The sequence below is a fragment of the Homo sapiens genome, chromosome 5, assembly GCF_000001405.40.
Source record: "Homo sapiens chromosome 5, GRCh38.p14 Primary Assembly".
Taxonomy (NCBI): Eukaryota; Metazoa; Chordata; class Mammalia; order Primates; family Hominidae; genus Homo; species Homo sapiens.
The window spans coordinates 61,176,501-61,202,998 of record NC_000005.10 but is presented as its reverse complement, the minus strand read 5'-3'; the positions used below and the strand labels follow the sequence as shown (position 1 = coordinate 61,202,998).

The window sequence follows — 26,498 nt, the reverse complement described above, 5'->3', positions numbered from 1 at the left end:
TATCAAACATATTAAGCAAGTGATGGCTGAGCTGTACTGAGTGACCATTTATTTATTTTACTAGAAAGACTGATATTTAATTTCTATCCCATTTTGGGGGCAGGTGGCTTTTACATTCAGATACTGTTTATTTTTTAAAACTTGCTGTTACCAACATGACAGAGTAGGAAAAATCATAATAAAGAAGAGCAAAATGGAAACCCAGCCTCTCAGACCAAAAGCTAGGTGCCAGGAAGGGCCAGGGGAAGGATGACTGCTCAAAGGACCACGGTCCCACAAGGAACATTTAATTTGGGTCATATAATTGCCTCAATGTTGTCAATGTACATCAAAAAACTCCTGTTGCAAACACACAGATGATTTTTCAGTAAAAATATGCTTTAGAATACATATTTTTTCCAAAACAATGCATTAGATAGAATTATAATCTTTCCCCTATCAGCAGCCCGGAAAAATAAAAGTTCTATGAGTTTATTGCAGTGGTAGAGGTGAGACTCATTAAATGACTGTAGGCTTCCCCAACCATAAGCCTAATTAAAGAAGTTTCTAAGTACCACACTGAGCAGTGACATCATTGTTTCCCTAGTTACCCAATGTGGAGGCAGAAATGAATAAGCTAGATATAAATGCAATAACTGATGGGGTGGGAGTGTTATTACTTTTTATGGCCATGAGATCTGTAATCCCTGTAACTCAAAATGTGGTCACTCAAAACATGTAACCAAAAAATGTTATGGGGCCTGTTGACTCATTGCTTATGGTACTGGCAAAATACGTTGTATATTCATTTACTTTTGTGGGAGCTGAAAGTAGCTGTTTCGTTGGCTATATCTAAAGTCCTGAATTAGAGTTTTGTGTATAGGTCAACACAAAAATATACACATATTTTGTATTTTACAAAGAACTAGTAGATAACAAGTATCTGGTAAATATCACAAGATTATAAAATATGTATATGCTTATTTATATAATACACATGGTTCATTCCATTCATTCAGTTAAATGACACCTACTCATGATACTCTCAAAAGCTGAAACCATCCTGTTCCTACCCTGATATGAAACTTAAGTCCACTTTTCTTTTGTGCTTATTGTAATATGTAACCATCAAGTAGTCCTTTTTTCTTTAAGGTGATTGTCTTTCACAATCATCTTAAGTACTTTTTGGAACAACTCTAATAGGTAAGCTAAAATGATTATTCTCATTTTAGAGGTGGCAAAACTAAAGAACATAAAGTTTAAATGTTCCATGCAAACTCATCTTTCATTGTTGTTGTAAATACTTTTGTTTCAGGGTGCATCTGAGATCAATGGCCAAAGAAAATGGGCTCTGAACAGTGCTTCACTGTCACATCCAGGATCTGGAAAGTTGTATTTGAGTGCTGGGTTTGATATACGTTAACTAGAAGATAAAACATGCCGACTATGGCTAGCAGACACAGTGCCCCATCATGCCTGAACAAAAAGATATTTTATACCAGAAGTGCGGAACAGGATTTTTTGCAGTTTTGCTAGAATCCTTGTCACAGTGCTTAATAATGTTACATCATTTAGATAATAATTTTTCTAGTTTTCAGTTTACCTAATAGTACGTGTTCAATTATTTTATGGAGCTTTTTCAATCAGAACAACATCGTACCTGTCTTTTCAGTGTATTATTCCCAAATAAAAGTTTAACCTCTTTTCGGAATCTTAGGACTGTGCACTATAGCCATTAGTTTTATAAAAATCTGTGCTGGGGGAGGGGCCAAGATAGCCAAACAGAAACAGCTGCTGTCAGAGGCTCCCACTGAGAACGAAAATGGCAAGTGAATCCTGTACCAGCAACTGAGGTATCCAGGTTCTTTCACTGGGACTAACTAGGCAGTTGGCGTGACCCACGGAGAGCAAGGAAAAGCAGGGTGGAGTGATGGCCCACTCAGGAGCTGCACAGGGGAAGGGGAGCTCCCAACCCCAGCCAAGAGATGCGGTGAGTGATTGTGCTACACGGCCTGGGAAAACCACACATTTTCCACAGATCTCTGCAACCCACAGATCACGATACCCCCTCTCATGAGCCCACACCACCAGGGCTTTGGTTCCCAGCACAGAGCTGTGCAGGTTCTCAGCGGACATTTCGGCTGGAGGCTGACTAAGACTACCAAGTTCCCAGGGGCTTGGGCGGCTGTCATCACTGCAGCTGCTTGCTGCCTAAGACCAACTGAGCTCCCAGGGGGAAGGGTGGCCATTATCACTGTGGCTTCCTGCTGCCTAAGATGACTGAGCTCCCAGTGGGAGGGGCAGCAGCCACCACTGCAGCTCCAGTCTGCTGGTTTTCCCCTGTGGATGCTGGGGAGATTGGGTGGTTTGGACCCAGGAGGAATTCCCCACAGCACAGCACAGTGGCTGTGGCAGATCATGGCCAGACTGACTCTTTAGGCCAGACCCTTACCCGTCCCTCCTCAACCAGTGGGGCCTCCTTGTGGGAATTTTAGCTACTCAGGCCAGGGGTTTATAGTCAGAACTCACATCTCCCTGGGACAGAGCCTCGTAGGGGAAGGGCAGCCATGGTCTCTGCGGATCAGCAGACTTAGTCTTTCCGCCTGGTGTCTCTGAGGAGTCAGGGCAGTCTGGATGAGTGGGATTTCCCCAGCACAGCACACCCTCTCCACTGAGGAGCAGCTAGAGTGCTTTGTTAAGCGGGTCTCTGATCCCATGTCTCCTGACTGGGTGAGACCCCCACAACAGGATATGCCAGACGCCCTATACAGGGGCATTCCCACTGGCATCAGGGTGGTGCCCCTCTGGGACAGAGCTCCCAGAGGAAGGAGCAGGCAGTCTTCTTTGCTGTTCTGTAGCCTCCACTGGTGACACCTCCAGGTGTGGGAGGGACCCAGGCAAACAGGGTCTGGAGTAGACTCCCAGCAAACTGAAGCAGCCCTACAGAAGAGCATTCTGACTGTTAAAAGAAAAACAAACAGAAAGCAACAAGAGCATCAACAAAAAAGTCCCCACAAGAACCCCACTCAAAGGTCAGGAGCCTCAAAGATCAAAGCTAGATAAACTCAGAAAGATGAGAAAGAATCAACAACAACAACAAAAAATGCTGAAAACTCAAAAGGCCAGAGTGCTTATTCTTCTCCAAGTGATTGCAATACCTCTCTAGCAAGGGCACAGAACTAGGAGGAGGCTGAAATGGATGAATTGACAGAAGTAGGCTTCAGAAGACGTGTAATAATGAACTTTGTTAAGCTAAAGGGGCATATCCTAACCCAATGCAGAGAAGCTGAGAACCATGATAAAACATTACAGAAGCTGTTAACCAGCATAACCAGTTTAGAGTGGAATATAAATGACCTGATGGAGCTGAAAAACCCGACACAAGAACTTCACAATGCAACTGCAAGTATCAGTAGCCAAATAGAACAGGCAGAGGAAAGAATTTCAGAGCTTGAAGACTATCTTACTGAAATAAGACAGCAGACAAGAAAACAATGAAAAGGAATGAACAAAACTTCCGAGAACTATGGGATTATGTAAAAAGACTGAAACTACGACTGATTGGGGTACCTGAAAGAGACAGGGAGAACGAAACCAAGTTGGAAAACATACTTCAGGATATCATTCAGGAGAACTTCCCCAACCTAGCAAGACAGGTTAACATTCAAATTTACAAAATCCAGAGAACCCCATTAAGATACTCCATGGGAAGATCAATCCCAAGACACATAATCATCAGATTTTCCAAGGTTAAAATGAAGAAAAAAAAGCTAAGGGCAGCCAGAGAGAAAGACCGGGCAACCTATAAAGGGAAGCCCATCAGACTAACAGTGGACCTCTCAGCAGAAACCCTACAAGCCAGAAGAGATTGGGGGTCAACATTCAACATTCTTAAAGAAAAGAATTTCCAACCCAGAATTTCATATCTGGCCAAACTAAGTTTCATAAGTGAAGGAGAAATAAAATCCTTTTCAGACAGCCAAATGCTGAGGGAATTTATCACCACCAGGCCTGCCCTGCAAGAGCTCCTGAAGGAAGCACTAAATATGGAAAGGAAAAAACATTACCAGCCACCACAAAAATACACTGAAGTGCAAAGACCAATAGCACTATAAAGGAACTACATTAACAAGTCTGCAAAATAACCAGCTAGAATCATGATGACACAATCAAATTCACAGATAACAATATTAACCTTAAATGTAAATGGGTTAAGTGCCCCAATGAGAAGACACAGAACGGCAAGCTGCATAAACAGTCAAGACCCATTAGTGTGCTGTATTCAAGAGACACATGTGCAAAGACACACATAGGCTCAAAATAAAGGGATAGAGGATAATTTACCAACCAAATGGAAAGCAGATAAAAGCAAGGATTGCAATCTTAGTTTCTGACAAAACAGATTTTAAACCGACAAAGATTGAAAAAGACAAAGAAGGGCATTACATAATGGTAAAGGGTTCAATTCAACAGGAAGAGCTATTTTAAATACATATGCACCCAATAAAGGAGACCCTAGATTCATAAAACAAATTATTAGAGACATACAAAGAGACTTACACTCCCACATGATAATAGTGGGAGACTTTAACACCCCATTATCAACATTAGACAAATTATTGAGATAGAAAATTAACAAAGATATTCAGGTCTTAAACTCAGCCCTGGATCAAGTGGACCTGATAGATATGCACAGAACTCTCCACCCCAAAACAAGAGAATATGCATTCCTCTCAGTGCCACATGTCACGTACTCTAAAATCGATCACATAATTGGAAGTAAAACACTCCTCAGCAAAAGCAAAATAATCTTTTTTTTGATGAACTGAAATCACGACAGTCTCTCAGAACACAGCACAATCAAATTAGAACTCAAGATTAAGAAACTCACTCAAAACCACACAATTACATGGAAATTGAACAACTGCTCCTGAATGACTCCTGGGTAAATAATAAAATTAAAGCAGAAATCAAGAAGTTCTTTGAAACCACTGACAACAAAGAGACAATCCACCAGAATCTCTGGGACATGGCTAAAGCAGTGTTAAGAGGAAAGTTTATAGCACTAAATGCCCACATCAAAGACTAGAAAGATCTCAAATTGACACCCTAACATCACAATTAAAAGAACTAGAGAATCAAGAGCAAACATACCCCAAAGCTAGCAGAAGACAAGAAATAACCAAGATCAGAGTGGCACTGAAGGAGAAAGAGACATGAAAAACCCTTTGAAAAATTAACAAATCCAGGAGCTCTTTTTTGAAAAAATTAATAAAATGGATAGACTGCTAGCTAGACTAATAAAGAAGAAAAGAGAAGAATCAAGTAGACACGATAAAAAATTATAAAGGGGATATCACCACTGACCCCACAGAAATACAAACAATCATCAGAGAATGCTATAAACACCTCTATGTAAATAAACTAGAAAATCTAGAAGAAAGGGAGAAATTCCTGGACATATACACCCTCCCAAGACTGAGCCAGGAAGAAGGTGAATTCTTGAATAGCCCAATAATGAGTTCTGAAGTTCAGGCAGTAATAAATAGCCTACCAACCAAAAAAAGTCCAGGACCAGACAGATTTACAGCTGAGTTCTATCAGAGATACAAAAAGAAGCTGGTACCATTTTTTTCTGAAACTATTCCAAACCACTGAAAACCCATTTTATGAGGCCAGCATGATCCTGATACCAAATCCTGGCAGAGATACAACAAAAAAGAAAACTTCAGGCCAATATCCCTAATGAATATTGATGCAAAAACCCTCAATAAAATACTAGCAAACCAAATCCAGTAGCACATCAAAAAGCTGATCCACCACGATCAAGTCGGCTTCATCCCCAGGATACAAGGCTGGTTCAACATACACAAATCAATAAACATAATTCATCACATAAACAGAACTAAAGACAAAAACCACATGATTATCTCAATAGGCGCAGAAAAGGCCTTTGATAAAATTCAAAATCCCTTCGTGTTAAAAACTCTCAATAAACTAGGTATTGATGGAACATACCTCAAAATAATAAGAGCCATTTATGAGAAACCCACAGCTAATATCATATTGAATGGGCAATAGCTGGAAGCATTCACCTTGAAAACAGCACAAGACAAGGATGGCCTCTCTCACCACTCCTACTCAACATAGTATCGGAAGTTCTAGCCAGGGCAATCAGGCAGGAGAAAGAGATAAAATGTATTCATATAGAAAGAGAGGAAGTCAAACTGTTTGCAGATAACGTGATTCTGTGTCTAGAAAACCCCATCGTCTCAGCCCAAAGATTCTTAAGCTGATAAGCAACTGCAGCGAAGTCTCAGGATACAAAATCAATGTGCAAAAATCACAAGCATTCCTATATGCCAACAACAGACAAGCAGAGAGCCCAAACATGAATGAACTCCCATTCACAATTGCTACAAAGAGAATACAGTTAACAAGGGAAGTGAAGGACCTCTTCAAGGAGAACTACAAACCACTACTCAAGGAAATCAGAGAAGACACAAACAAATCGAAAAACTCATCGATAGGAAAAATCAATATCATGAAAATGGCCTTACTGCCCAAAGTAATTTATAGATTCATTGCTATTCCCATTAAACTACCATTGACATTCTTCACAGAATTAGCAAAAACTACTTTAAAATTCATATGAAACCAAAAAAGAGCCCATATAGCCAAGACACTCCTAAGCAAAAAGAAGAAAGCTGGAAGCATCATGCTACCCAACTTCAAACAAAACAGCACGGTACTGGTACAAAAACAGACACATAGACCAATGGAACAGAATACAGAACTCAGAAATAAGACTGCACATCTACAACCATCTGATCTTTGACAAACCTGACAAAAATGAGCAATAGAGAAAGGATTCCCTATTTAATAAATGGTGCTGGGAGAACTGGCTAGCCACATGCAGAAGCCTGAAACTGAAGCCATTCCTTACACTTTATCCAAACATTAACTCAAAATGAATTAAAGACTTCAATGTAAAACCCTAAATTATAAAAACCCTAGAAGAAAATCTAGGCAATACCACTCAGGAGATAGGCACAGCCAAAGATTTCAGGATGAAAACATCAAAAGCAATTGCAACAAAAGCAAAACTTGACAAATATGATCTAATTAAACTAAAGAGCTTCTGCACAGCAAAAGAAACTATCATCAGACTGAACAGACAACCTGCAGAATGGGAGAAAACTTTTGCAATCTATCCATCTGACAAAGGTCTAATATTCAGAATTTACTTGTAAATTAAACAAATTTATAAGTAAAAAAAACTGCATTAAAAAGTGGGCAAAGGACATGAACAGACATTTCTCAAAGGAAGACATTTATGTATCCCACAAACATGAAAAAAAGCTCAACATCACTGATCATTAGAGAAATGCAAATCAAAACCACAATGAGATACCATCACACACCAGTCAGAATGGCCATTATCAAAAAGTCAAGGAACAACAGATGCTGGTGAGGCTGTGGAGAAACAGGAATGCTTTTACACTGTTGGTGAGAATGTAAATTAGTTCAACCATTGTGGAAGATGGCATGGCAATTCCTCAAAGACCTGGAACCAGAAATACCATTTGACACAGCAATCTCGTCACTGGGTATATACCCAAAGGGATATAAATCATTCTATTGTAAAGATACATGCATGTGTATGTTCACTGCAGCACTAATCACAATAGCAAAGACACGGAATCAATCCAAATGCCTATCAATGATAGACTGGATAAAGAAAATGTGGTACATATACACAATGGAATACTATGCAGCCATAAAACGGAACAAGATCATGTCCTTTGCAGGGACATGGATGGAGTTGGAAGCCATTATGTTCAGCAAACCAACACAGGAACAGAAAACCAAACATCACATGTTCTCACTTATAAGTGGGAGCTGAACAAGGAGAACACATGGACGCAAGGAGGGGAACAACACACACTGGGGCCTGTTGGTGGTGGGGGTGGAGAGCATCAGGATAAATAGTTAATGCATGCAGGGCTTAATACTTAACTAATGGGTTGATAAGTGCAACAAATCACCATGGCACATGTTTATCTATGTAACAAACCTGCATGTCCTGCACATGCATCCTGGAACCTAAAATTAAATTAAATTAAATTCAAATAAAAAAAATTAAAAAATCCATGCAGATGAACCGCACATACTTTCTTCAGCTTTTTTTTTTTAATTGAAAGCAGGCATAGCATACTTTTGCCATGTGAAAAAGAGTAAAGGAATTGGCTGAAAACCAATTGGTTGAAATAATAGATTAATTGATAGGATAAGTTTTAGGCAAAGTATACTCAGATATGAGTTTTCATTATTTTGTACTACATATTTCTTTTATTTTTAGTTAGTTCTGATATTGTTTAAAAATTATTTTTAATTTTTATTTTAACTAAATTTACCGATTTTATAAGCAGTTTAGGGAGTCAAACAACCTTAACAATCTTGTTATAAATAAATATCAACTTATTTTCTCACTCCCAACTCCACCACTGTACCTCCAGGCAACCATTTTGAACCCTGGTAGCAGATTCTCTTTCTTTACGTTTTTACTTCAAATAATGATTATTATATGATTTCTTCACTTTTCCATTTTAGCCATTATCTGCTGATTTCCCAGTATAGAAGATGAAGATTTGCTTATCTTTTGCATCCTGTTCATCCACATAAATACACACTTTTAATTTTAAATTTTGGCTCTATGGACAATTTTAGTTAGATCACCATTCAGTATTCATTCACATTACTTAAATGCTATCCTCACCTGTGCCACATAATATACTATATTTCCTTTCCTGCATAAGTTTTTTCTTTTTATTGAAACTGAGATACACAGATTTGGATTAATTATAATTTATAACATATACTTATCATTGGTTTATGTATGAACTTCTTTTAGTTATAATATTTAACTAAAATATTTAAATAATGTAATTAGCTCCCTTGACCCGACATCTCAGATGAAACCTAGAGACTTGGAAATAACCTTCATCTACCATCTTCTCCTCACACACAGCCTATCTTGTTTTTATCATGTCCTTACTTACCTTTTTTTTTTTTTTTTTTTTAATCACTCTTGCTCAGGCTGGGATTACAGGTGTGAGCCACTGCACCCGGCCCTTACTTTCCTTTTTATATAACTTTATTGCATCTACATATATTCCTACATATAGGGATACACAGAGTTAGTAGATGAAAAGTATGTTTTGGACCTCCCCCAAAAAAGTCATTATATGAAGAAGACATGCACACATATATATAGCAGCACAATTCACCAATTGCAAAAATATGGAGCCAACCTAAATGCCCATCAACCAATGAGTGGTTAAAAAAATGTGGCATATAGGACAGGCACGGTGGCTCATGCCTGTAATCCTAGCACTTTGGGAGGCCAAGGTGGGGGTGTATCACCTGAGGTCAGGAGTTCAAGACCAGACTGGCCAACAAGGTGAAACCTCATCTCACTAAAAATACAAAAATTAGCCAGGCGAGGTAGCACGTGCCTGTAGTACCAGCTACTCGAGAGGCTGAAGCAGGAGAATCGCTTGAACCTGGGAGACAGAGGTTGCAGTGAGTCAAGATTGTGGCACTGCACTCCAGCCTGGGCAACAGAGCAAGACTCCATCAAAAAAAAAGGAAAAAAAAGTGGTATATAGACTACTCATACTCAGTCATAAAATGGAATGAAATAATGGCATTTGCAGTGACTTGGTTGGAGCTAGAGGCCATTATTCTAGGTGAAGTAACTCAGGAATGGAAAACCAAACATCACATGTTCTCACGTATAAGTGGGGGCTAAGCTGTGAGGATGCAAAGGTATAAGGATAATGTAATGGACCTTGGAGACTTGAGGATAAGAGTGAGAGCAGGGTGAGGGATAAAAGACTACACATTTGGTACAGGGTACACTGCTTAGGTGACAGGTGCACCAAAATTCTAGAAATCACCAATAAAGAACTTACTTACTTAACCAAAAACCACCTGTACCCCAAAAACTATTGAAAATGTTTTAAGTAAGTTTTGGGGGTTCACTTGAATGGCAAACTTTGTAATTAGAACCAACCCTTTCACTGAGAACAAGTTGAAAAACTAGACAAAATATTTTTAAAATTTGCTTGAAATTATCAGAGAGATAACAAAACAGTGAAGAAAGATCATGATCAGGAAGAAGTAAGAAACGCAGAGAGGTGCGCTGGAAATTTGAGGCTGTATTCACCTTAGTTACTGCTGATTTTAGAAGAGGTGGCTGAATAACTGAGCAAAGCTTTGATGGACTCAAAAGGCCAACAGGACAAAATTGGAGTTCAGTGTCCACTAGGATAGAGCATAGGATATTCCCCAGGTTTTAGACTGAGATCATTAAAAGCTAAATCCTAGAAATAAAGAGTGAACTGGAAATAGACTAGCCCTCACAAAGATTGGAACTCTCCTGAAACTTTCTCAGTCCTCTAACAGATTAAGGTGATACAATCCTCTGAATGTAATCATGGTCTTTTTGTAGATTTGCTTACTTTTTAAAATAAATTTGTAGGTAATTTAATGGAAATCCTTCCCAAAGTGTGCAAATTTCCTCTTGAGATATTTAAAATATGTGTTTGATCAATTTCATCTTCCTGAAGAAATTCTTCCTGGAGACTTCTGACCTGTTCCATCCCAGGCATGTTTTCTAGGTACTGCTGTCACCTTGAGGTCTCCTTTCTCCATCCTAGAGACTCTCCTTGTCTCTGTTTCTTGGGTCCCAGTTCTTCCTCTTTCTTGCCTTACATCCTTGTTTTGGTGGAGCACATCCTCCTGTAGCTTCTAGAGAAAGAGTGCAAGGGAAATAGACTTTTAGAGATCTTCATTCTGCCCTCACACTTTTGGATTGGCATGGAATTGAAATTGGAAACATCATTTTCCTTCACAAGTTTGAAGGCACTTTTTCATTGTCCTATCACTTCTACTGCTGTGTTTTGAGAAATATGGTGCTATTCTGATTCTTGATCCTGTTATGAAACTTTTTTCCCCATATCTCTGGAGATTGTGGGATTTCCTTTCCATCCATGATGCTCTGAAACATCATGATGATATGAAATGATGTGGATCTATTTTAGACCATTGTGCTGGGTAAACATGGCTTTCAGCTCTGAGGAATCCTCTTAAATTACTCTGTATACTTTCCTTGCCTTTATTTTCTCTGTTTCCTCTTTCTAGAGCTCCTATTATTTAGGTATCAAATCTTCTGGATTGGTCTTCCCATTTTCTTATTTTTTCTCTCCTACTTTCCATATATTTGTGTTTTTATAATTTTACCTTCTGCAATATTTACTAAATTCTGCCTTCAATATGTATCTCCTATTTTATCTAAACTCCCTTTATATTTGCTACTGCAATTTTAACTTCCAAAAGCTTTTTTTTTTTTTTTTTTTTGGTTCTGTGATTTTTTTTTTTTTTAAACATAGCACTCTGATCTTTTTTAATGAAGGTAACAACTTCTCTTATGTTTCTGAACTTGATGGTGCACATCTCCCGGATGTGCCTCCATTTCTTCCAAGTATGTTTGGTGTCAGTCATATCAAGAGGCTTTCCTTGCCCTTCTGGTATTCTCTGGCTGTTTTGCTGAAACCAAAAGTTGTCCACCAGAAAGCTGATTAGAAACTCTGTGCATGTGCATATAGCTTGTTGGCTATAGTCTTCACTGTAGGGCAATTTAGCTGGGCCCATCCCTTGGGGGATGCCCAAGGTCAACATGTTATTCCTTGAGGAGTTCCTGATGTCAGGGTCTGAGTTCTTTTCTGTCCCTGCAATAAGATTTCTATTTTTCTGCCAGCAGCATTTTGGTTTGACAGCCAGCTGTCTAGGAGCTGAGAGGGTCAGGGGCAGTTGCTGTACAAAGTGGGAAAAGGATAAAAGAATAATTGCTTCATTAACACACTGTCATTGAAGCCTTAACCTCATCTTCACCCTCACTTTCCAGAAATACCTGGGTCTTGGGGGATTTTATAATGTAAATTGAGTTTCTGCTCCGCTTTCCTCACTAACAGTTTAAAAATCTGCTTTCTCCAGTACACTAAGTCCAAAATTTTGAGGCTGTTTTCTTCTTTCCTGTTCTCCCTTTTATTATACGTGTGCCTTTAACTAGAAATTTGACTTAAGCTTTTTAAAGGATTGTCAGATCAATTCAACAAACATATATTGAGCACCTATAATGTTCCAGGTTCACAGGTTCATTAAATTAATGGATCTGTGGGCTTTTGGCTCTTATTAAATGCTGATCTGGATTGATAGATGTTTTTCAAGCTTCTATTGTTCTCCTTGAAGCCACTGGGCTACTTCGTCCAGCTTTGATGTCTTTCGTTTATTATAATATCTCTAGGGTGCCATTAGTTCTTTTTCTTATCTTCTATCAACTAGAATTTTTTCCCATCTTTTCCTTTTAGATTGAAGTACATAACCTATTTCTGAGTCTGTGTCTTCTTTCTATGTAATAATGCCTCCTTTACCAACCTGCAATAAATAGAGAGAACTTTAACCTCCAACGAGTTAATAAAATTATTGCCAATTGTGTTCAGGCTAAAAATGGATCATCCTCCCCACTCCAATTGGACAGTGCCATGATTCTTCCTGTGTCATAGACCTGATAATAGTGATTCAGACATATTATAATTAATCACTTTATCCATTAACATAATTATTACTTACTAGCACCCACTGTGTAGCAAGCACTGTACTAGGAATTTTCATATGTGTCAGAATTGTTTTCTGGAGGCATAGTGTCTGGATTACAGCCATGCCAGTTATTAGTTATGTGATCTTGAATAAATTATTTCTTTGTGCTTTGTTTCCTCATCTGAAAAATGAGATACTGGCACTACATCAAACGACAACTGTCTCTTCTGTAATATGAATATAATAGCATGTCCTCCAAAAAACCATTTTGGAGATTATATGACCTAATATATGTCAAGTCCTTAGTATGGCACCTGGTGCATAGTAGGCATCACGTGTAATCTATCTTCATTAATATTATCTTATAATTATTTATATTATCATCCCACTTAACAGATGAGGACACAGAAATATTAAAAAGTTGATTTAATTTCTCCATGGCTGCACAGTTAGGCAACAGCAGAGCTCGAGTATACACTCAGGTAGTTCAATAATATCTTCTTCAAAGTCCAATATAGAACATGTCCATTAAAAATGTAGTTTTTAAGTCATTGATTACATATTTATTATTTGCCAGTTATGTACAGATACATTGAATAAAACAGTTTAAATTGAACAACACAGACTCAGTTGGCAGGAAGAGAGGAGAAAGTGAGGAGGGTGTCCATGTGTATTAGTCTATTCTCACACTGCTATAAAGGACTACCTGAGACTGGGTAATTTATAAAGAAAAGAGGTTTCATTGACTCAGTTCCACAGGCTGTACAAGTTTCCTCAGGAAACTTACAATCATGGTGGAAGGGTAAAAAGAAAGCAAGCACATTTTCACATGGCAGCAGGAGAGAGAGAGCAAAGGGGGAAGTGCCACTCACTTTTAAACCATCAGATATTGTGAGAATTCACTATCATAAGAACAGCAAGGGGGAAATCTGCCCCCATGATCCAATCCTCTCCCACCAGATCCCTCCCCCAACACTGGGAATTACAATTCAACATGAGATTTGGGTAGGGACACAGAGACAAACTATATCATTCTGCCCTGGCCTCTCCCAAATCTCATGTCCTTCTCACATTTCCAAACACAATCATGGCTACCCAATAGTCCCTCAAAGTTTTAATTCATTCCAGCATTAACTCAAAAGTCCAAGTCCAAAGTTTCATCTGAGAGAAGGAAACTTCCTTCTGCCTATCGGCCTATAAAATCAAAAGCAAGTTAGTTAATTCCTGGGGAGACAAGCATTGGGTAAATGCTCCCATTCCAAAAGGGAGAAATTGGCCAAAACAAAGGGGCTACAGGCCCCATGCAAGTCTGAAATCCAGCAGGGCAGTCACTAAATCTTAAAGCTCCAAAATGATTTCCTTTGACTCCATGTCTCACATCCAGGCTACATTGATGCAAGGGGTGGGCTCCCAAGGCGTTGAGTAGCTCTGCCCCTGTGGATCTGCAGGGTACAGTCCCTGTGGCTGCTTTCACTGACCAGCATTGAATGCCTGTGGCTTTTCCAGGTGCATGGTGCAAGTTGTTGATGGATCTGATTCTGGGGTCTGGAGGATGGTGGCCCCTTCTCACAGCTCCACTAAGCAGTGTCCCAGTGGGGACTCTATGTGAGGGCTCCAATGCCACATTTACCCCTCTGCACTGCCCTAGTAGAGGGTCTCCATGAAGGCTCCACCCCTGCTGCTTGTATTGAGTAATACCAGCAGGCTTGTATTAGTCAATTTTTCACACTGCTATAAAGAAATATCCAAGACTGGGTAATTTATAAGGGAAAGAGGTTGAATTGACTCACAGTTCCATATGGCTGGGAGGGCTCAGGAAACTTACAATCATGATAGAAGGTGGAGAAGCAAGGACCTTCTTCACATGGCAGCAGGAGAGAGAAGTGCCAAGTGAGGACGTGCCACACTTTTTAAACCATCAGATCTCATGAGAATCCCTCACTATCATGAGAATAGCATGAGGGAAACTGCCTCCATAATGCAATCACCTCCCTCCCTCAACACGTGGGGATTACAATTTGAGATGAGATTTGTGGGGACACAGAGCCAAACCATATCAAGACTTCTGCCTGGGCATCCAGGCATTTCCATACATCCCTTGAAATCTAGGCAGAGGCTCCCAAACCTCAACTCTTGTCTTCTGCACACCCACAGGCCCAGGCTCATGAAGTCACCAAGGCTTGGGCTTGCACCCTCTGAAGCAATGGCCCGAGCTGTACCTTGACTTCTTTTAGCCAAAGCTAGAGCTGAAGCATCTGGGATGCAGGGCACCATGTCTTAAGGCTGCACGGGACCTTCAACCTGGCCCATGAAACTATTTTTCCATCCTAAGCCTCCAGGCCTGTGATGGGAAGGGCTGCTGTGAAGGTCTCTGAAATGCCCTGGAAGCATTTTCCCCATTGTCTTGGCTATTAACATTCAGCTCTTCTTTACTTATGCAAATTTCTGCAGCCTTGAATTCCTCCCCAGAAAATGGATTTTTCTTTTCTACCTCATGGTCAGGCTGCAAATTTTCCAAACTTTTATGCTCTGCTTCCCCTTTTAATATAAGTTTGAGTTTCAGGTCATTTGTTTGTTTATGCAAATGAGCACAAGCTTTTAGAAGTAGCCAGGCCACATCTTGAATGCTTTGCTGCTTAGAAATTTCTTCTACCAGATACCCTAAATAATCTTTCCAAGTTCAAAGTTTCACAGATCTCTAGAGCAGGGGCACAATGCCACTAGTCTCTTTGCTAAAGCATAGCATGAGTGACCTTTACTCCAGTTCCCAATAAGTTCCTCATCTCTGTCTGAGAGTACCTCAGCCTGGAATTCACTGTCCATAACACTATCAGCATTTTAGTTACAATCACTCAACAACTCTCCTGGACATTCCAAACTTTCCCTCATCTTCCTGTCTTCTTCTGATCCCTCTAAACTGTTCTATCCTCTGCCCATTCTCCAGTTCCAAAGTTGTTTCCACATATTCAGGTATCTTTATAGCAAGACCCCAATTCCCTGGTAACAATTTTCTGCATTAGCCCATTCTCACACTGCTATAAAGAACTACCTGAGAATAGGTAATTTCTAAAGAAAAGAGGTTTCATTGACTCACAGTTCCACAGTCTGTACAGGAGACATGGCTAGGGAGGCCTCAGGAAGTCCTCCTGCCAATCATGGCAGAAGGATGAAAGGAAAGCAAGCATATCTTCACATGGTGGCAGGAGAGAGATAGAATGAAGGGGGAAGTGCCACATACTTTTAAACCATTAGATCTTGTGAGAACTCACTATCATGAGAACAGAAAGGGGGAAATCTGTCCCCATGATCCAATCCCCTCCAACCAGTTCTCTCCCCCAACATTGGGAATTACAATTCAACATGATATTTTGGTGGGGACACAGAGCCAAGCCATATCACCATGCAATGGGGGCAGTCTGGCATATGGTATCAGCCTGGGTAGTGTAAGGAGGGCATGCATTGAGGGGTAGAAGGGGAAGTAGCACTTGCTGCCCTTGGCAGAGTTTCAGACCCCAAGGGAGGTGAAGAGGGCACTTGTATTGGAGAGGCAGCAGCGGCAAAAGAAGATGGGTTATATATAGAGACATTAACCAAATAAGGAAGTACGTGAAAGATGATGGGAGAGGGGTTTCTCATTGTCAGGGTAGGGAGTTACAGGTATGGAAAGGATGAAAACTAGAATAGACTTTGTGGTGTTGGACTGGAATTGAGGGTATTGGTATGAACTGTGTATCTGTTAAAGAAATGGACATCACAGTTTATAATCTTCCCAAAAAGAAAACTCCAAGCACAGATGGCTTCAGGGTAAATTCTCCCAAACATTTAATGAATAAATAACAATTTTACTCAAACATTTCCAAAAATAGAGCAGAAAATACAAAGATATTACAGCAAAGGAAACTACAAACCAGTATCCCTTATGAACATAGATGTAAAAATTCTAAACAAAATTTTAGAGTATCAAATACAATATATTAAAGGGATAAAAGGATAGTACGTCATAACCAAGTGGGGTTCATCTGAAAAATGTAGGATTGGTTTAACATTAGAAAATCAATCAATGGAATTCATCATGCTAATACACTAAAAGAGAAAAACATGATTATCTCAACAGATGAAGAAAAGGCATTTGACAAAATCCTGCTAAGATTCTGTTCTTAAAGATTCATCAAGCACAACCTGTGTTGAGAAGGATCATTTGAGAGGGAGGAACATTGATAATTGTCTATTCTTCCAAGATATTCAAAGCTGGGACTCCACAGCCATTATGGTTACATGTTGCTCAAGCATATATTCTAACTTTCACTTACCTCTTACCTAAATGCATTAGATTATCATTTACCTTGTTGTTTCCCAAACTCTGTTGCTTGAAACACCAGCATTCCTTGAAATATAAGGCCCTTTTTGGAACCTCAAGACGTACATTAACATATTAAAGTTCTAAGTCCCGGGAAGAAACCATATCCAAGATCTTTTTATTTCATGTGAATTTTGACCATTGCTGTCTTATCAAGGGAACTTGCTGATAGAAGCATTTTATTTTGACCCATCCATCCATTCTTGCTTATATATTATATAATATGTATAGGAGCTTGTAAAATAATAGCATGGCTAGAGCAGGCTGGGAAAACTTGGTGGAAGGGTAAACGTCCTGGACTCTTGCCTGCTGCCAGTTTACAGTAATCTTCCTTAAACACCACTTTTCTTCCAATGCTCCTCTGCCTGTATAACTTCCTACACACACCAACTCTATACCCCACCATGGAAATTAGTAACTTTTCTTAGATATTTTTCCAATTCTTTGGTTTTAATATCTTTTAAATTCATAAAAGAATCTAAAATGCTTAATTTAGATTAATAAAAACAATATGTTGTCAAGAAAATATTTTAAAGCCACAGAAGAGATCAATGAAAAAGATAACTTTCAGTTGTCCTGGAGAAGCCCTTTAAGGGGTTTCTCTATATATACCCAGAGAAAGCAACGTGGTGAAAATGAAATTTCTACTGGTGTTTGCTAATACAGTGTTTCTTTCTATAAGCATGGAAAACATATTAAAGAGAACTGTGTCCTGTGAGAGGTGAATTTATTAAGAAGCTGGGCATCAAGTCATAAACCTACCACTGGAAAGTAAAATAAAAAGGGAAACCCAGCAGAGCATTTTCCTTTTGTGTGCTCAAGGCATTAGTGAATTATTCTTTGTGCAAAGCACTGCACATCTGGGAAGTGAATAGTTTAAATAAAGTAGTAATATATTTAAGAGCACCTTTTGAAAGTTACAATCCCCAAGGAAGATAAACCATAAGAATCCTTTCATTGCAAAAAAGAATTCATTTGTTATAACAAAGGAGCAAAATGGAGCGTGGTATGTGTAATATGCTGAATGTACAAAAAACAGCATTCTCGCTCAGTCTGATCCTGCATAAGTAATTTTTCAATTAAAGTGCCTTTTCCTCAACACTTGAAATAGTTCTTGGATGAGTTGTAAAGTACTCATGTTAACTGCATTAGGCCAATGGTCATTTAGTGTAAACAGGAACAAGATTTCAGCTAAGCTAGAACAGTGTGACAAACATTATTTTGATTCTTCCTGTGAAGCTTTAGAACAAAGCTTATAAAAGCAGAAAGATATTGAAATCAATTTACAATGATCTGGCCTTAGCTGGCAAAATCAGGCCAAGCCCTAAAATACATATGCTTTGAAGCACAAGTCCATTAGAAAATATACATTTGCATCTTAATATACTATCTATTTTGTCTTCCAGGTTCAAAAGGCAAACAAAAGGCCCAAATTATAATTATTAATGGCCTCAGAAATACATTAATATTATCTATACTAAGAACATGTATAGAGGAATAATGTTGTAAGAAAAATTGTGAAGAACACAGAATATTACATGGATTCATCAAAACTATTATTTTCTATCTTTCAGGATAGAGGCTTTCAAAACAGAAACAGTTTTAAGTTAAAGGAATCCATCTTTTCCCCCTTTTTAGAATAAAGGAAAAATTAAAGTTCTGGACATCTGAAAAGTTATATGCATTTGTACAAATAATTTTACTCCAAAGTATATTTGTCAAGAGAATGCATATTTGGTTGGGATTCAGCATCTTAATAGCATTGCTATGGTCACTGTGAAGTACATTTAAAAAATGAAAGAATCCTTGCCCTCTAAGGACTTTTTATCCTGTTAATTTTAGAATTCTAGAAATAATACCAGATATGGTTTAAAACTAAAATGTATTTTATTTTCTTGGTGAAACATACTTGTAGACATTCATATTAAGCAAATGAAATGGTCATCTTTATATCCAGACAGCACCTACCATTAGAATAACAAAAAGAACAGCTGTTTTCCTCATTAGATTACTGGCTCACTAAATTTTCATTCAGAAAAAGACAGTTTCATTGACTTCTGTCATATTCCTTTTTACTGACTAGGACTATGTCCAACAGAAATGCAAGCCTATATGCACCAAGGGATAGCATAACTATATTCACAGGAACATTATCTGTAATGCAAACTGTAAGCAACCCAGATGTCCAACATAGTAGAATGGATAAATAAGTTGTCGTTTATTTAATGGAATACTACATAGCAATGAAAATGAACAGACTGCATCTACATTCAACATCATAGATAACAAGTGAAAGAAACAAGACAAAAGAATATATAAAGTATGACCTCATTCTGTAAAGTTTCCAGACACACAACACTAAACTCTATGGTTGTATATGGTACATATGGATGCACATCCAAGTGGTAAACTGTAAAGAAAAGCAATAAATGATTACTTTAAAAGTAAGATTAGGCTGGGCACGGTGGCTGATGCCTGTAATACTAGCACTTTGGGAGGCTGTGGCGGGCGGATCACCTAAGGTCAGGAGTTCAAGACTAGCCTGGCCAACATGGCGAAAACCCATCTCTACTAAAAATACAAAAATTAGCACAGCATGGTGGCACATGCCTGTAATCCCAGCTACTCGGGAGGCTGAGGCAGGAGAATCACTTGAACCCAGGAGGCAGAGATTGCAGTGAACCGAGATTGCACCACTCTAGCTTGGGTGACAGAGTCAGACTCTCTCTCAAAAAAAAAAAAAAAAAGAAAAGTAAGATTAGAACTTACTCAGGGAATAGGAATCGAGCTTGGTGAGAGGGTTGTGACTGGAAAGAGATCCATGAGACTTCTGACATGCTAGTTAAATTCTTCTTTTCTTCTCCTCCTTCTCCACCTACTTATTTTTACCATGGGTGGCACTTACAAAGTGTATTAATTCTTACAACCATTTGTAAGCTGTATATGTCATATGTTATCACTTTCTTGTATGTTACACTTCATAGTAAAACACGTTTTTTTAAAAAAAACCCAAGGATTACTACACTAAATAATACACACACACACACACACACACGCACACACACACACACACACACACACACATACACACATTCTAATTGGCTTCAAAGAGAAAAGAAAAAATCCTGATTTTATATTAGACTTCCCTTGTTCTCCTTCTCTTCTGCTGAGCACATATTAAGTGTTCAAATGTACTTACCAACTAAAGAGATAAGAGTTTCAAAGTGCATCAAAATGTACCATTCAGTGTCATGCGTGTTATTTGAGAGCTTCAAAGACTTATGTGGGTTTTTTAGCTGATGGTGGAATTGCATGTACGTATTCCTATTGTCTCTTGTGTCTATGTTGACAACACTAGCTGATATATGACTATGCAGAAATAGTGCTTGAAAAAAATGGGCAACTTCCTGTGCTTACAGCTGTAACACAGAAGCAGCTCAACTTTGATTTTACACCTATGGCCTGCCCCTAAGTTTCCTGCTTCCATCATTACTGTGGATTCTAATCTTAGGAAAAGTCTGCCTCTTTGAAAAAACAAATATACAAACCTGAGCTAACCCAGCCATGTCAACCTATAGTATTATTTATCTGACTTAAGCCTTAATCAACCAATTTTTCTTCATGCTCCTGAATTAGTTGGGTACTAGGTTATTGTGTTACCAAATTAGCTCCCTTTCAACTACCCTGACTGAAACCTGTAACAAATTCTAATTACTGGTGATGGGATATTCTTAGAGCCTCTTTCAGCAAATATCCCAATAAAAATCTTGGTTAACAGACTGACAATATCAAACTCTGACATATTATACAAGAAAGAAACTCAGTTGACCAATTGCCCATCTCTTTACTCCAGAATGGATTTTCTAAAGGAGCACAGAAAATCTATACGGCAATTTTATTCTCCCCTCTGTAATCATTGGTATTCTCTAGCTCCTGGGTAGGTCAAAATCAATTTAACATTTAAAAGTCCCTAAGGCCATGAACAGTGGCTCACGCTTGTAATCCCAGCACTTAGGGAGGCAGAGGTGGGAGAATAGCTCAAGTACAGGAGTTCGAGACCTGCTTGGGCAACGTGGAGAGATTCCATTCTCTGAAAAAAGGGGGGAAAAAAAGATAAAAATACTTGAATCTGGTCTATGTTCTCAGAAAGTTGAATTTTATTTTTCAAAATCGATACCACTTAGTAATGTTCTGATGCAAACAATATTGAAGGCAATACAGCTCACTCTTTATCATCCAAAGGTTTATCCACAGCACAGCTTACTTACTTCAAGCAAACCTTGATCCAAAGATTGGTAAAATAATTAACAATATTCCTTAAGTCACATGTGGTCAACAGTCTGTCTACTTAATCTATCATCCAGAATCAAGGCCTTAAAGGCAAAATAATTATTTGTCTCCCTTTATTCTGGCAAATATAAATATTGAATGAAAATGGGCATCTCTTTTTAGTCTGGTGCTTTATTTCAGCCTGAGTTATACTTTCTCTCGTTTTTTAAATAAGGTAAATAGGAATGACTTCTGCAAGGGGGAAGGATAAAAGACAGAGATATAGAACAAAGATCTGGAACAATCTTATAAAGTTACTTTATTCTACTAAAACAATGTCTAAATTATAGCCTAATACTTGACTCCAAAATACTATGGCTCAAAGGATATTTCTCCAAATATAATTACATACTGTAAGAACGTGATATGACAGAGCAAATATAGGCCATAACTGGTAACCCTATTCTCCAACATCACTGTTATAAGTGGGACATCTCTGAATTAGAGTTTCCCAAACTATCATGCCCATTCAAATACATATTCCAAGCCTCATTTAATACTGAAATTATGTCGGGATTAGTTACTGTTTGGCTGATGCATACCATGTTTACTTTCACTTTTAATGAAATGAAAACTGACATATAGCATATAACATTTCCTGTGGGAACAGAAGCCAATGTGATCTAGGACAAAATGTAAACTTCCTACATTTAAAAAAAGCATTTTAACAAAAGAGGAATGAAAATACCACTTTACATTTGTGAGTAACTGGGATTCAAACTGAAAGCCCGCTGATTCCATGCCACAGCTGTCCTTAGTTTCCTTAATAATGATTTATCCAAAATCTTCATATGATAAAAGTGATTTTAGTAAGTAACTGTAACATCTCAGGCTTTTGTTTATCATGAGACAGACATGTATTCTCACTTTTTTTCTACCCTCTGCCCCCAATAATCACTTATAGAATAAAATCTGAGTTAAAAAAGCCATGCATTTTCCAACCAAACATCTTCCCTGACAAATATTATTTGAAATTAGATTACAGCTATGTGCCTTCTTTTTCCACTCCTCAGTGGCAGTTAGTGGCAGAAAACAGATGATCAAAGCAAGAGTGGGATTATAATTTGCACATATTAGCATAGATTATTTTAATTGAATACAAGTCCAGAAATTACGTATAAATGGTTTCTAAATCAAATATGGTTTACAATTAATGAAGTACTTATATTAGGTTGGTGCAATTACCAAAAACCACAATTACTTTTGCACCAACCTCATAGTAAGAAGCTTACCTGTTAATTCGCTAAAGTCAAGATCACACCTATTCAGATAATCATAACCATCTAGCAGCTTCAGTTGCAATATTTCTTCTATCTCTCCTAAGATACAGAGAGCAAAATCATTATTTTATTGGATTACTTTAGTTTTTTAATTTTTTAAGACAATATGTGATTATTTGTACAATGCTAGAGCTCTGAGTTGTGATAAAGGCTATGGTAAACAATCGGTGTTATATCATGCCTCCCTCAGTTTTTGGACAGCCAGTGGTTGCTTAAATAAATAACTAATGTGCTGTGTATACACAGAAAATAAAAATTTTAATACCTATCTTTGTGTCAAATTGTGTTTCTTTAAAGAAGGCAAATAGACAATTCTCACTCAACACACATAATACCCCTGAGTTAGATATTTTAAAGATGTTCTTGAACTCAAAGAAGGAATTCTAAAACAATCACCCAAGCATGAAAAAAAAATATCATCTTGGCACACCAGAGTTTCCTAAAACTACTGCATAAGAAACTAAAACTGGAAGACAAAAATCTTTGACATAAAACTTTTGTTATCAGGAAAAATATAACAAATAACAATTCACAAAATTTGCAAAAATCTATTTTACACCCACCTGTGGTCCTTAATATATTCATTGTTGCTTTTCAGTGATGGGATTCTCTCTCATTTAGTGGCCCTGCTTAGGCTCAGATGTCCAGAGGTCTCTACGAATCAGGTGGAGGAAGATGATGGAGAAGCTGGATAGGAGAGAACATCATGCCAAGGGCAGGGCTGGGTAGTGAACACGCCACAGCTGTGCCGACTTAGAATCCTCAAGTAACACAGTTGTCTAGGTCAGTGGTTCCTAAGCTTGTCTACAAATAGGAATCATCCTGGGAGTTAAAGCGCTCCTGACGCCTGTGTCCCACCTCGAGAAATAGTGATTTAATTGGTTTGGGATATGTCCCGGGCTTTGGCATTTTAGAGATCTCCAGGCAATTCTAATTTGTAGGCAAGTTTGGTCACAACTGGTTTATATTATTTTATACTTCGAAAAATTAGGTTCATGTCCATTTTAGTATGCTTCTTATATCAGTCTCAGGGCATTTGGGGAAATCTAGATGACTACTTGTTCTAGAATATTCCCATCACTGTAAATCCATGGAGGTAAACCAAGATCCAAAAGCAAAACTGCAATATAATTGAATTATTTATCATTGTCAAAAGGAGAATAAAAGTAGGAAATATAAAGGCATTAGAATAAGCTAAATTTTATAAAATGTTTCTTCAAGACAAGAATTATTAGTGTATGGATTTTTTTTCCAAACCCAAGCCCTAGAAACTTTCTTCTGTTTGCCACTCTAAAACCAGACAGAAAAATTAGAGAACAGTCTATAATAATCTGGGTTTAAGTAATGACCTGGATTTGTATGACCTAGTCTAGCTTTCCACCTTATCAGATGTACCAGGGGCAACTGCTGGAACGAGGAAGAAGGAATTGGGTATTACACATGAATAAACTTGCGGAGAAGCTAAGTTCATTAATGTTCTGTTGGCAGGAATCAAAATGACTTAGAAGCAGCCAAGCTGAATTACAGGTTTGATTTACTTAAGAGTTACAAGTTATGTGGACATCAGCATTTTTTTATACCAGCCTCTAGGCAGCCTTGATATCGAGACCTCATAATCCTGCCTTTCACAGTAAGATCCAGTTGTATTTCCCTGTGGCTTCTCCACTCTTGTGGGGGTATACGAGCTGTGAGTACAGAAGACATAAAATAGTTTTAAAAGTTCAAAAGTATCAGTTCATCAAAAGCAAATATTGGGAATATTAAATATCTCTGCTCCTTTTTTTTTTTTTTTAAAGGTAAGCTTCACTCATAACAGGTGAGTAGATTGAAACTGGAAAACGTATATTTCAATGTCAGGTTCACAATGGGAATATGTAGATTCACTCTGATTCATGGAGCTAACATATCTTAAATAGACGGAAGTGCTGAGCTGAATATATCGCTCCTTTGAAATGGAAACAATGACTAGATCATAATGGGGATATGTGGATGTTGCCTTCCCAGCCCTTCCCACCTCATGACACAATGTAATCCGCTGTCAGTTCAAAATTCTACCAAGAGCTGGGCAAACCAAGGCATTACCTGCTTACGTGGGGCAATGGTACCTAAGAGAAGAGTATGGTGGGAATGAACCGTAGCCAGTGAACAAAAATAGTGAAAAGCAGCATGCATGGTTCAGTTTTAAAGGCTTCTTTGGTTTAATGCAATGGAATGTGTTCCAAATGTCAAGACAGCTAATTCTCAAGATCTTCCCAGTCTCATTGAAAGCTGACTGCAAATCACCAAAGCACCAAAATAGAAGGTAGTTGTCGATTATTTCCAAATACACCAAATCATCCACAAGAACGTGCTCTTCTGGCAAGTGACATGGCAACTGGGTTTTCATTTCAAGGGCCAACTGCCACCAGTTGTTTATTCTGAGGCTTCAAACTTAACAGGTCCAAAACTGAACTGTTTCAGTTTCAGATGGAGGGTTCATTTCCCTCTGTCTTCTGCTTTTGCTTCCCCCGTACTTGCTGCCAAAGTTAGTCTTCCACCTACACAATCAGCAAACCAGAACTGGGAGTCATTCCGGGCTCCTCTGTGTTTCAGTGCCTCGCTCCACATCCTAGCCATCGTAGATCCTGACTAGCAAATTCATTCGCCCCTACTCTCTATTCCTTTGGCCACCACCACAGGTCGCCACCACCACAGGTCGTGTCCTCATCTTTCACCCCTCTGGAGTTTTTTCCTGACCTATTACTCAAACATGAGCATACCATCTCCCTGCTTATTCTCTGACAGCTGTGTGCCTGTACTCTTGCTTTTCCCCTGCCTGGAATGTTTATTTTCCCAAGTTCTTGTTAACTAGCTTTTGATACACTTAAGCTTAAGAAATGGCCTAATATTTTCTGTCAAACCTTTTCTGATTTATCAGGCTGAGTTGGGTGTTTCCTCTTCTGTGCTTCTTATATCACCTTGTAATTTCTTTCTTACATGTTAGTCTTCTTGCCTTACTTACGACAGGGAGCTCCATATCCTGCTCAATACACCCAGGACTTGGAAAGTGCTGAGTCCACTTGTGTTAAATCAGTGATTCCTCATTTGCCTACTGGAATTACCTGGGGAACTTCAAAAAAATACTGAGGCCCAGACTCCACTGCAGACCAATTCAAGTGGAATTGCTTGGCGTGAAGCCCAGGTACTTGTAGTTTTAAAAAACTGCCCAGGTGATTCTAATGTACAGCCGGGGTTGACAATCACTGTGCAAAACTATTGATCTCAAATGTGAGTTGAAGCCCTATCAAGAAAACAGGAAGTTTGATGGGCTTTTGTTTTTTGTTTTTTAAAGGACATTGTGTTAGTTATCTATGGCTGGGTAACAAATTATCCCAAAATTTAGCAGCTTCAAACAGCCAGCCCTTCTCTCAGAGTGTCTCTTGGTCAGGAATCTGGGCACAGCTTAGTGGGTCCTCTGGCTCAGGGTTTCTTGAAGACTGCATTCATGGGGTGTCAGTCCAGGCTGGGTGTGGGGAGGAGGAGAGCTTGCATGTGAGCTCACTCGAGTGGCTATTGGCAGGACAGGGCTCCTCACCGGCTGTTGGCCAGAAGCTTTCTTTGGCTCTCCTGCCTTTCAGGGCAGCTCATAGTCTGGTAACTGGCTTCCGTTAAAGTAAGCATGTGAGAGAACAAGGGGGTGAGCAAGGTGGAAGCCAGAGTTTATCTATAACCTGGAAATGACATCCATTGCTTTTTGCCAGATTCTGTTTATCAAAAACTCCAACCCAAACTCTACAGGAGGGGATAATACAAGGGCACAAATACAAGGAAGACAGTATCTTTGGGAGTCATCTTAGACACTGCCTACCACAGACATTTAATGATGATACTCTACCTAAAAACTAATCTAC

At 38.7% G+C, this 26,498-nt stretch overlaps 1 long non-coding RNA gene across 1 annotated transcript in view, besides 1 other annotated feature; it reads right to left on the bottom strand.

Annotated features, from left to right (window-relative positions):
- The window catches only part of SMIM15-AS1 (SMIM15 antisense RNA 1), a 69,765-nt gene that overhangs the window by 29,082 nt on the left and 14,185 nt on the right, over positions 1–26,498 (bottom strand). The window contains exons 2-3 of the long non-coding RNA NR_109908.1: positions 23,172–23,295; positions 22,561–22,647 (exon numbers count right to left, since the gene is read on the bottom strand). This is a non-coding gene — a long non-coding RNA (SMIM15 antisense RNA 1). The remainder of the gene's footprint in view (positions 1–22,560; positions 22,648–23,171; positions 23,296–26,498) is intronic.
- Positions 14,784–15,299: an enhancer, noted in NCBI's record as "NANOG hESC enhancer chr5:60483527-60484042 (GRCh37/hg19 assembly coordinates)". NCBI's record gives its function as "activates a minimal SCP1, AML or CMV promoter by ChIP-STARR-seq in primed H9 embryonic stem cells {active_cell/tissue: H9 hESC(primed)}" and the evidence as "EXISTENCE:reporter gene assay evidence [ECO:0000049][PMID:30033119]".